This window comes from Homo sapiens, chromosome 6 (genome assembly GCF_000001405.40).
Source record: "Homo sapiens chromosome 6, GRCh38.p14 Primary Assembly".
Lineage (NCBI taxonomy): Eukaryota > Metazoa > Chordata > Mammalia > Primates > Hominidae > Homo > Homo sapiens.
The window spans coordinates 124,271,372-124,284,351 of NC_000006.12; the positions used below are offsets into that span (position 1 = coordinate 124,271,372).

General features: G+C 36.0%; 1 protein-coding gene across 9 annotated transcripts in view; it reads left to right on the forward strand.

Moving 5' to 3' along the window:
• Positions 1-12,980, forward strand: part of NKAIN2 (sodium/potassium transporting ATPase interacting 2) — a 1,021,776-nt gene that overhangs the window by 467,507 nt on the left and 541,289 nt on the right. For all 9 annotated transcript variants that reach the window (XR_007059213.1, XR_007059215.1, XR_007059214.1 and 6 more), the window contains one exon: positions 11,634-11,771. Coding sequence is in view for 4 of the 9 variants with exons in the window: in NM_001300737.2 (NP_001287666.1) it covers positions 11,634-11,771 (138 nt within the window). In the remaining 5 variants the exon portion in view is untranslated. The remainder of the gene's footprint in view (positions 1-11,633; positions 11,772-12,980) is intronic.

The following is a 12,980-nucleotide window of genomic DNA, read 5'->3' on the forward strand; positions in this document are numbered from 1 at the left end:
ACGCCTGGCTAATTTTTTGTATCTTTAGTAGAGATGGTGTTTCACCATGTTAGCCGGGATGGTCTTGATCTCCTGACCTCGTGATCCACCCGCCTTGGCCTCCCAAACTGCTGGGATTACAGGCGTGAGCCACCATACCCGGCCTAAACCTCCTTTCTTTACAAATTACCCAGTCTCAGATGGTATCTTTGTAGCAGTGTGAAAATGGACTAATAAAGTGGATTGGTACCAGCAGAATACGAAGCTGCTATAAAGATAACCTGAAAATGTGGAATTGGGTAACAGACAGAGGTTGGAACAGTTTAGAGGTCTTGTAAGAAGACAGGAAGATGTGGAGAAATTTGAAACTTCCTAGAGACTTGTTGAATGGTTTTGACCAAAATGCTGATAGTGATATGGACAATGAAGTCCAGGCTGAGGTGGTCACAGATGGAGATGAGGAACTTATTGGGAACTGGAGTAAAGGTCACTCGTGCTATATTTTAGCAAAGAGATTGGCAGCATTTTTCCCCTGCCCTAAAGATCTATGGAAATTTGAACTTGAGAGAGATGATTTAGGGTATCTGGCGGAAGAAATTTCTAGCAGTGAAGCATTCAAGAGGTGACTTGGGTGCCGTTCAAGCATTCAGTTTTATGCAGTCACAAAGAGATGGTTTGGAATTGGAACTTACATTTAAAAGGGAAGCAGAGCATAAAAATTCAAAAATTTGCAGCCTGATAATGCAGTATGAAGGAAAACCCATTTTCTGGGGAGAAATTCAGAAATTTGCATAAGTAACAAGGAGCCAAGTGTTAATCGCTAAGACAATGGGGAAAATGTCTCCAGGCCATGTCAGAGGTCTTTACGCAGCCCTCCCATCACAGGCCCAGAGGCCTAGGAGGAAAAATTGTATTCATGGGCTGGTCCCAGGGCTCTGCTGCTCTGTGCAGCCTCAGCACTTGGTGTCCTGCATCCCAGCTGTTCCAGCTCCAGCCATGGCTAAAAGGGACCAACGTACAGCTCAGGCCTTTGCTTCAGAGTGTTCAAAACCCAAGCTTTGGTGGCTTCCACATGGTGTTGAGCTTGTGGGTACTCAGAAGATAAGAGTTGAGCTTTGAGAAACTGTGCCTCAATTTCAGAGAATGTATGGAAATGCCCAGATATCCATGCAGAGGTGTGCTGCAGAGATGGAGCCATCATGGAGAACTTCTGTTAGGGCAGTGCAGAAAGGAACTGTGAAGTTTGAGCCCCCACACAGAGTACCCACTGGCCCACTGCCTAGTGGAGCCATGAGAAGAGGGCTACTGTTCTCCAGACCCCACATGGTAGAACCATCAACAGCTTGCACCATGCACCTGGAAAAGCCACAGGCGCTCAATGCCAGCTTGTGAAAGCAGCTATGGCAACTGTACCCTGTAGTGCACAGGGGTAGAGCTTCCCAAGGCCTTGGGAGCCCACCCCTCGCCCTGGATGTGAGGCATGGAGTCAAAAAATATCATCTCAGAGCTTTACAATTAAATTACAGCCCTACTGGGTTTTGAACTTGCATTGGGCCTGTGGCCACTTTGTTTTGGCACATTTCTCGCATTTGGAATGGAAACATTTACCCAATGCCTGTTCCCCCACTGTATCTTGGAAGTAACTAACTTGTTTTTGATTTTACAGGCTCATAGGTGGAAGGAAATTGCCTTGTCTCTCAGATGAGATTTTAGACTTGGACTTTTGGGTTAATGCTGGAATGAGTTAAGACTTTGGGGCACTGTTGGGAAGTCATGATCTGTTTTGAAATATGAAAGGGACATGAGATTTGGAAGAGGTGGAATGATATGTTTTGGTTTTGTGTCCCCACCCAAATCTCATCTCCAATTGTAATCTCCATGTGTGGAGGGAAGGACTTGGTGGGGTCGATTGGATCCTGGGGGCAGTTTCCCCCATGCTGTTCTCATGATAGTTAGTGAGTTCTCACAAGACCTGATGGTTTTATAAGTGGTAGTTTTTCCTGCTATCTCTCTCCTGCTGCCATGTAAGACATGCCTTGCTTTCCCTTCACTTTCTACCATGATTATAAGTTTCCTGAGGCCTCCCAGACATGCAGAATTGTGAGTTAATTAAACCTCCATTCTCTATAAATTACCCAGTCTCAGGTAGTATCTTTATAGCAGTGTGAAAATGGACTAATACACCATTTCAGATATTAGCATATATCATAGTGTAAAACTAATTCTGTCAGATGACATGAATATGTCTGATTCATCTCATCATTGATTTGGGTTTCCACACCTCACTAGAACTAAAACAGTGTATCACATTGCTCAATACCTATGATACTCTATAACTGCTTGTAGAAGTGTGTGATTTAAAAGCCCATGGCCATTCCTCTTCCAAACATTAGGTATTTTTTTCTGTGTTATGAATATGTAACCAATTTGTGTGTTAGCTTGACCTTGTATCAGTTGAGACTCCTTTGTGAAGATATTGGAAATTCAAGGTTAAATGGACGCATTATATTTTCCAACTGTTACCTGTCATGTACTTTGAGTGAATCATGAAAACTACCTAGAACAGCTGTCATTTTGATATGTTCTGGTTCTTCTGAGAAGTTAGATTTCCACTGAGTAAAATTATAGGCTCTGTGGAGAAATCAAAACAGTGCTCCATCTACCAGGAAGGCCTGCACTGTGATCTTTTCAGCTCATTTCACATGAGTATAGGGAGACTTTAAACTTAATAAATGAGAATCAGACTACAAAGGTATAAAATTATTTTATAGTACAACTCCAGATAAATGTCATTTTTGTGCCTCTGCAGTATTATTATTCTATTAACTGCATTGATAGTAGAAACTTTCAGTTCATGTTTTTATCAGAAATGTTCTGTTCTTACTGTGAACTAGTCTGTACTGTGAATTGCATAATTTGTAGTAATAGAGTAATAGTAATAATCATGGTTATTTTATAAGGTCATCATAGTGATTATAGGAATTTGCAAACCATGGAGTTATATGTAAAAATAGTTATTAGTGTGTCTTTTCAAACTTTTATTTCATCTCAAGAACAAAGAACCTATTATATTTACTGGCTTATTGAATTAGCAAAGTATTTGGTAGTAAAGCAGAAGCCCTAAAAATTGTGAAAACAATACCATAAGGTTCCCCTGTGTTCAGTTGCTAATGATATGTGGTTGAAGTCATGGCCATGGAAGTTAAAATAACAGCTCTGGAGTTATGATCTTGGACATGTTATGTATTCTCTCTCATCATCAATGTGATTCCCTCATCTGTGCAATAAAGATAATGGTAGATAATCCTTGTAAACGCATGATTTAAAAGTAAGCATTAACTTAAAAACATATTATTTATTGTAGTGTACAGAATATAATAACTACTCAATATATATTAATAATTATTATCACAGAATGCGGACACACTATTCAAAAAAAAGGTGGGAGATTTGTGTTATGATAAAAAAATTAAGCTAAAAATCTAAACACTAAAAAAACCCTATTACTGAAAATCAAGTAACTCTTTGCGATTAGGCATACACACACACTCACATACACATTTATAAAACTTGGCATGTGGACACACACAACAAGGATCAGGAATTCACATGACTTGTTAAGCTCAATTAAACAAAAAACAAACAATATTTTTGTGCTCTAGAGTTAACTTTGTGTTACTTTTTAGAAGAATTTTCTGTTTTTTAAACCTCATATAATATGCTAGTCATCAGCTTGTCTTTTGATAGCATGAGTATTAACTATGAAATGGTTATAAATTGCTATGCAGAATGAACAGCTGTGAGAAATAATAAATGATTCTGTTATCACAACTAGAGTATTAGATGGCATATTTAGAATTATATATAAATGGGATTATTATACAAAATAGTGGAAAAGTCTTAAAATTAACTATTTGACTTCTATGGGGGCTTTTACATAAACTTACTGATTTAACTTCAGAAAAATGTGACTCTGTGTTTCAAAAAGGTATATTAAGAAATGCCATGTATGATATTTCAGTAATACAAATTATGAGAAAATGCACTTCTTGTCTCTATTTGGTTTCTTTGAACTTATGCCAAATCTTCTCCAATATTTTCTTGGAAAGCTTTATTGTGATGAACTATGTGGAGACAGTTTTAAAAATAAATGTTGATTTTCATCATATGTGAAAGGTGGAAAGAGAGGAGGTGGAAACAGAGGAATTATAATGTTTGAAGCCTATTCTTTTACCATAGTACCACAACAGATTTAATATATGGGGTGTTAAATCAGGCAGGAAAACATTTCTCAAGAAAGACCCCCTCCAAATACTTGAGGTTATTTAGGAATATTTGTCATGGTATTATTTGCATTTGTAACCAATAGAATAAGAAACATTTGAACATCTCTAACTGAAATAGTCTGGCAAGAACACAAATATAGAATGATAATGCACTAAAACATGATTTCAAATTTGTATTGAAATATAAAATAATTAATAATAGCATCCATTTTAAGATGCAATCCAGGCATCTTAATAACTAATGTATGTACATTATCACTCTAATTTTCATGAAAATCTTAGGACTTATGTATTATAACATCCCCATATTGTAGATGAAGAAACTGGGATTCATAGAGATTAGTGGGCCGCCTGTAGTCACATAGTGGTTAGAATTCAAACATGATTTTCCAATTCTAAAACTTGAAGTCTGAACCACCATGATATGCTGACTTCTCGTGTAATCAGAGCAATTAGGGCCAAGTCTCTTTTTGGTGGTGTTTCGTTGTGGTGGCGGTGGTGATTTATTTCCTTAATTTTTTTGGTTTTGTTTTTTGTTTTTCTTTTTAAAGAAAAACCATTATATGGAAAAAGGCAGACAATTCTTAGTTCTACTAAATTAGGATAAATTATTATTTTTAGTAATACCTAACAATTTTATTTTCTTCCCCTTGGTGAACACACACACACACACACACACACACACACATACACACCATCCTAACAAGTATGTACACATATATACACATGCATTTGAGATACTTTAGTTATTCAAATGTAACTAAAACTCTTTAAGTAAAGCTCTGTGGTTTGTCCTTTATCTTTGCTCCTATTTTACATGTATAATCATTGCAGACTCAACTTCAAGTTTATCCTCTTCATTTTATATGTGAATCCGATCTCTTGGTAAGATAAAACAAAATTATATCTAGTATATCTCTTGCATATAATGTTTAAAAGCCAGCACATATGTTCTCATTGATCTTGTCCACTACGAACAACACAGAGAATCTTAAAAGGAGAACACTATCAATAATATTTGTAGAGTTTTGCTTTGTGATATTGTGATATTTTAGGCAATCTTGTAAAGAGCACAGCAGCTCAACAATATTATAAAGACCTAGAATATCTTTAAAGTCTTTACAACTTTCTTGGTCATTGGCTTAAAATTAGAGAAACCAACATGGGCATCCTTTCTGACTCTGGAGCAGACAGGCCCAGAGCGTGCTCAAGACTACAGTTTACTTAGGACTACAAACGAATTAAGCAATAGGAATGGAGATGAGCTCTAGTGTGGCAACATCCAGCAAAGGGCAGAGTAAACCTAGACATCAAGGTTAACGCAAAATTAGCAGCTTTACCAAAGTGAGCAGACAACAAGGAAACAGAAATACTGTACTGAGAAGTTGGGCACAGGGGAAACCTGAATCCAAGGCAAAATCACAGGGCAAGGGTTTCCTGCTGAAGGAACAAAATTTTACATGAATCAAGGACGTAGTATTCAAACTTTCTACATCTCATTTAATGTTGTTTTAAGATCTCTGTGGGGCAGGAAACAAAGAGTGGATGCTACTGGAAACTAGAAATTAGCCATACTTGACTGGAATGTAAAAACAAACAAACGAATGTTAGCAGCAACTTTTATTGACAAAAGTATGACCAACACATGGCCATTCTGTAGGTTAGGCTGGAAGTTTATCTAAACTTTAATGGTACCTACAGATGAAATAAGACTTTGGACTCAACCTAGAAACTGTTAGGCCCCTTTTAATTTCCATCTTGGATTTTCCCTAGTAGTATGTGTCTGTGTGTCGTGTGTGTGTGTGTGTGTGTGTGTGTGTGTATCTGTGTGTGTGTGTGTCTGTGTAAGATGCTATAACAGGCTAATTTTACTTGTTAGGTAAGTTATATTCCCCTGCAAACAACTGAAATGAAAATCATTTCTTTGTTGATTCCTGGAATTGTATTAACTTTTGACAAGTTTGTTAGTTCCTTGAAGTCCACTTTGTCAATGCAAATAGACTTTGGAGGGGAGCACTCTACTTGGCCTAACACTGAAATCTGAGTCTGTCTTCTCTCTTTCTTCAAAAACTTGAGAGTTGAGTCAATCTGAAAGCTCAGATTCTTGAAGGGACCTGGAGACACTTAAGGGGGAAGAGGTACAGAGAGGAGAACAGGGATATCCATAGATAAGTTTAATTTCCATTTATAATTTAGCACTAGAAACATAATTTGGTTGTTTACAGCCTTTAATAACACACCTTAAAAAAAAAACTCTGTTTCATCATCATAGTTTCAAAAGCCCATTTTTTCTCTCAAAATCTACATATAAGTTTTATTTTATATTATTTGTTTCAATATCAGGTTAAGTTTTAAGGACATAAAAATAATATTATAGTAATATTTGGAAGAAAATTTGATTAAGAAATATTAGTTATGAACAAAATGCAATTTCTTAAGGAGACCAATTACAGGTCTTACCAGTTGAGGAAAACTACCTGGAAAAATGTCATTTTGGCCTTTTAAAAAATATGTTCAAGTGCATGTAATTTTCTTGTTATTAAAGTTGAATAGCAATAGATGCCTAACCAGTACAAAGGCTTCCCTTTTGCCTTGCAAACATTTGAAGCAAACCTGTTTCAGACTAAATCCTCTCCTATGAAGAGGTAAAGCTTAGTTTAACAAAGTATGAACTTAATTGGGCCCAGTTTTCTCATGTGTAAATTGAGGAGTATGGAGTAAAAAGTCAATAAATTTATTTATCTTGAAGACATTTTACAGATGCTTCTGATGAACATTTATTGTCATGGAAAGTAAGACAATTTGTCCTTAATAGCACTTATCACAAAGGTTTTGAAAACTTTTTCAGCTTAAGCATACTCTGCTATATTAACAATTACCATTAAAATTAACATTTACTATGGTGCAACGAAAAGGGTAATCTTCATGTTTTCCAGCTCATATAATAGCTTATATACATATATATATACATACACACACGTACATACACACACAAACACACATATACATAGCTCATATATATATATATATATATATATATATATATATATATATGCTATTATATGAGCTGGAAAACATGAAATATATATATAGCACAAAGAATTAATAAAACCTGTTATATAATATTTGGGATTTAGCAACCAGAATTGACCCAACATTTCTATTTTGGGGAGTTTGTCCTATGGCTATATTAACACACATACAGAAGATTCTATAATGCACTTATGGATGTTATAGCCAAAAACTGGAAATGAATTAAAGATTTATTAAAATGCAATGCCTTAATAAGGATATAATGAGGTAGATCTATTAATGCAGCATGTGCTAATGTATAAAAACCTCATGACACATCACTAAGTGAGAAACACAAGGTGAAAACACACAACTACATTGCAATCCATTTTGTAAATAAAAATAATTTGAAAAATTTTTACACATACATGACAGATATATGCCTATATGCTCCATCTACATACAATATTTTACTGAACAGCTATGCAGTTAGCAGTAGCTCCCCAAATTCACACAAATTGCCTTTGGGGAAAGTTAATGTGACTGGATGGTTTTCTCTACGTTTATTAAGAGTTTTGGCCAGGTGCAGTGGCTCACACCTGTACTCTCAGCACTTTGGGAGGCCGACGTGGGCCGATCATGAGGTCAGGAAATCGAGACCATCCTGGCTAACACGGTGAAACCCCGTCTCTACTAAAAAGACAAAAAATTAGCCAGGTGTGGTGGCGGGCACCTGTAGTCCCAGCTACTTGGGAGGCTGAGGCAGGAGAATGGCGTGAACCTGGGAGGCAGAGCTTGCAGTGAGCCGAGATCACACCACTGCACTCCATCCAGCCTGGACAACAAAGCAAGATTCCATCTCAAAAAAAAAAAAAAAAAAAGAGTTGTAAATAAAATTTGTGTCTTACTTATGGTTTGAGGCCAGTGTAACCTTTATAACAGTGTCAGAAAAAGAGAGAAAAAGAAATTGAACTGTAGGTCAGTTTATAGATACAAAAATCCCAAATAAAATTTTATTTTGTTTAAATTTTATAAGTAAAATTTAATCCAAACTAAAAATGTGCTAAAAATGATATGCCATCCCAAGTAGGGATTTTACTAGATATAAAAGGATAATGACAAAAGGATATTGATCGAATACTCAATCTAATCCATCACATTCATTGTATAAAAGAAAAAAAATAATGTGATTATCTCAATAGATGCAGAAATAATAACTGATAAAGATTAGTCACTATTGATGTTACAAATAAAAACTTCATAAAGATAGTAATGGAAGGGAAGATAATTCTTTGTGGTAGCAAAGAATTGAAAGCAACCAAATTATGCGTTAATAATGTTGTGATCTGTGCAAGCCAAACACAAGGAACCAAAATTTATATACAGGAAAATAGGCAAGCATGAAAGGGATGTACACCATAAGACTTCTTATGTGAAAATAACACATAAACAGCAGCATGTATTTTGCTAGGCCAAATACATACATTTCTATGTCAGATGATTACAAGGACCAAAAGTAAATACATTAAAGAGGTCCCCATGGGCAAAATCAGATTAACACTGAGATGGGTTAAAAGAGGGAAAAACTAACCTAAACTAAACAAAAAAGGAGCTTTGTCTTAACCAATGATGATATAATGTCATGAACTGACAAGTATGATCAGAGAGATTCTATGAAGTAGCATATATTATATAATCAGCATGGTCTCTACTATATAACCAACAAAAACAAAATCTATTTGTTTTTGGACTAAGTGTGGAGTAAATAGAAAAGGTAAGGGCATAGCAAAGGGGCCATGCACAGAAGCCCAAATTCCTGTTCTACTACTTACCTCTTCTGTAACTTCAAGATAATCACTTAGCACACCACAGCTTGGATTCCTTAATCTGCAAAATGGGACAATCCTATTTACCTCCCTTGGTTTTGTGTAGAATCAATGTGATAATACATGCCTGGAGAAAAGCATAAAGCCCCAGCATACAGTAGGTGTTCTAACAAATATGTGCTCTCTCCATCCCTGCACTCCCAGGTCCACTATACAGGCCCCTCATAGTTAATAGTCTTCCTGTGGGAAGGAATTCATAGGAAAGACTGCAGCTACTCCTACACATATTATAACCCTTACACTTACTGAACTTTTCAGACAATCTTGCATTTTTCAGGCCTATCTTAAATTACAGAACATATGATAATGCTACTTATGATCCCTAATAGGGCTAATCAAAAAGGGGAAAAAGGCAGAAATATTATATGCAAAGAATTACAGATTAGCTTGTTCAGTCTGCACAAACTTGTAAGTAAGAAACAATTGGTTGTGCCATAACAAGAACCCAATAAATGTTGACATAATTTCACTTCAGTTTTACAGACTTAGTTATTACATTATCATCTCTATATTTTTTATAATTAATAGGACTGCTATTTTCTTTCATAATTGGTGCATTTATTGAGATATTTCCCACTGTTAGACTGATGTGTTTCATCCTCTATACGTTTGCCCTGCTGTGTCCCCACAGTTATGATGCTCCAAATTTATAGAGTTTAGATGTTTCTTGCTGTTGGTTTACATTCCTATTCACTATTTATTCATAAAATAAGGCGGAGAGGGTTCTATGTTGAAATGAACTTTTACACAGAAAATTAGCAATCATGTTCTCAGAACAACTACTTAGTTTTTGATACCATTCACAGATTCTAACTTCGCATATGTAATACTGCCTAATGTCACAAATGGGTCTCATTTCTACAAAACGTTAACTATATGAGAAAGTTGAAGGAATGGCTCATCAGAAGACAATTCAGGTTTATAAAGCTTAAGTGATATTCCAGTCCTATGACAGTCTGTGTTTATTAAGGAGTAAGAATATTGCATTCCACTATTGAGACTCTGATGAGTATCATGGCTTTAGCACAGGGTATAACAAATCAAGGTTCTTTTGTTTTTTTAATTATGGCGAAGATGCAATGAGAATTACGATTTGACTAAGTTGGACTGTGACTGCTACAACCATTACATGGTGCCCAGTGTGCCTTAGAAAATAGAGGTGTCATGAATTTATTTTCTCTTTCAATGCCTGATGGGAAAACGTGCTACTCAGCTAAAGAACTGCAGTAGGAATAATGATCATTCAAGATGTCTTCAAACTGAGCTACAGATATTTAATTTAAAAGCACATTGCCTGTTTTGAGAGTCAGTATTTCCTTCTGAAAAGAAATATCATTAAAGCATAGTGATGTTAGGAACTTAGGGATTTTAAAATCATCATTTTCCTTGAAAACCTGGCTGAATAAAATATTGAATCTTGGTATGGAGCATCAAGTCCTTTTACAATGTTTTTCTCTGAACAGAGAGTTTATTATCATCCCCCCTGAGGGCAGGCAGGAAGAATAAAGCCAACATTCTGCTTTACTTTGTTGGATCTGATGAGATCTTGCTAGCTTCCTAGATCTCACTTTGGGATGTAAAATGGTACTTCCGGACTACCCACTAATCTCAGTTTGTTGTTATTTTTGGTTAGTTGGTTGGTTTTGTTTTTCTCCTCTCACTGCTTAGATTTTTATATGTCTTAATTATAGTTGTGAACACAGATGAAAATAGTATAATTTAAATCGACTTAAGTGTCTTGCTTTTATAACAGTGATGCTTGATTTTTGTGTTTGTTTTCCATTGTTCTAATTTTCTTTTAGGGCCCTTCTTTTACCTGGTAGCCAGGTATGACAAAACATCATATTTGATCTATAATACAACACTATTAGAACTAGAAGGACCCTACACACCTCGTCAAAGTCCTTCATTTCACAGACGAGGGCCAGCACCCAGAGAAGGGAAATGACTTGCGTAGGCCACTGCGGCTACTTAGTGGCAGACTCACGTTCAGAAATCTTTGTCTTGCTAAAGGGTTCTTGCTACAACTCTTGCTAAAGATTTCTTTTTCCTCCACATCAAACTTCCTTTGTTCTATTCTCAACTTATATAATGACGTTTGAACAGATCTAGCAACAAACTCTTTATGTGGACTTCCCTGACTTGCTGGTTGATGACTTCAAATGTTTGACAGTGCACATGACAATATAATTTATCCTATGACTGCAAAGATGACATCTTGTGAATACTGCTTGATTCCTCCACAAAATCATCCCTGAAAGGCTTGTAGGTGTCTATAGATCCACAGATTCCATAGTGTTCCTTTGAAATAACTGAAAATGTCATTCTCGCTGTTAGTTAAAGACAAATGCCAGATATGGTAACACAGTTATAAGTGCTAATTATGTTATTAATAATTTTATCCTTTTTTCCTCTCACCACTGTGCTGTTTCTCACATGCTGATCTGTCCATCCTGTTTTGCTATTCTAGGTTTGTGTGCTGGAGAGGCAAATATTTGACTTCCTTGGATATCAGTGGGCACCTATCCTGGCAAATTTTGTACATATTATTATCGTCATTCTTGGTTTGTTTGGAACTATTCAATATAGACCTCGTTACATAACAGGAGTAAGTACATTTTCTGCCTTTTAAAAATCTTATTGAACTAGAGAATGATGTGCAAACTCCAAATGCCTTGAAAACTTATGTGTATAATCTATCTTAAAGATGTGGATACTCTCTTTTAAGTACCATGTGTTTATTTTCATAGTTTCAGATTCCATCAACAGTAATTGAAAATGTCAGGTTTAAGGCACTTGATAGTGAGTGTGATCAGACTGAATTCTCATAATTTGTACTTTCAGCGAATAGTCTCATAATTACAAGCCAAACTGTGTTTCTATGTTTCTACATTATAAAGTCATGCTTTCTGGTTTGACAGATTTTAATGGAAATTTTTTCTCATTTTAAATAATCATATTTTATACATTGAATAAAGAGTTTAAAATCAATAGGAATGAACATATACTATTGATGTGAAAATATTAACCACATTAGGGCTAATATTTGGCGTATGAGAAAGCCAGAATAATCTGGACAGTTGCCTCTGTGTTCTCCATAATTCTCTTTTTGGCTTGAAGGAAGTATTTTGCATTCCCACTCAAGTTAAACTTACTTAACATAAAAGTGAAATCCAACTGTGTTTCAGTTACTATGGGAACCATAACTCAGGGTTGCTTTTTTTTAAACTTTTGTATGTGCCTCAGATCTCAGCTACTGCTCTTCATTAATGTACATTTTTTTCTTTTTAGTTTCATCATTTTTTCTATTTCTTCTATTTTTGACAAAGGAAATGTCTATAGGCATTTATTTAAAATTGTAAAGCAGGTTTGTAGTAAAAGCATGTATATAAGATAGTACCGTGAAAGCTCTGCCTTGTTCAACACAAACCAGCAGCCCTTCTCATGTTTTATGAAAGCGTCCTCATTAAAGATGCCCCCCCATGACCTGTTCTCTCCATCATCTAGAACCCAGATAAAGCTCATTGGTACAGCCAGGCAATGTGGTGGTGGCTGGAACCAAGGAAGAATGAGAAGCCCACAGTCCTCGCCTCCAGGTGCATGCCCAGCCTCCAGTGCATGTCACTGCAGAGGCTAGGTAGCCATCTAAATCTTGTAAAAGTGGGAGGAGTTCTGTTGCAGGGTGAAGTTTTTTAATGCACAAGATATGATAGTATTGTCCATTTTCTTTTATGAATCGTAATTTGATACAGTGTAGGGCGGGTTGTACAGTGGTTGAGAGTGAGTCCTCTGAAGTCATAATATCAAGATTGGAATC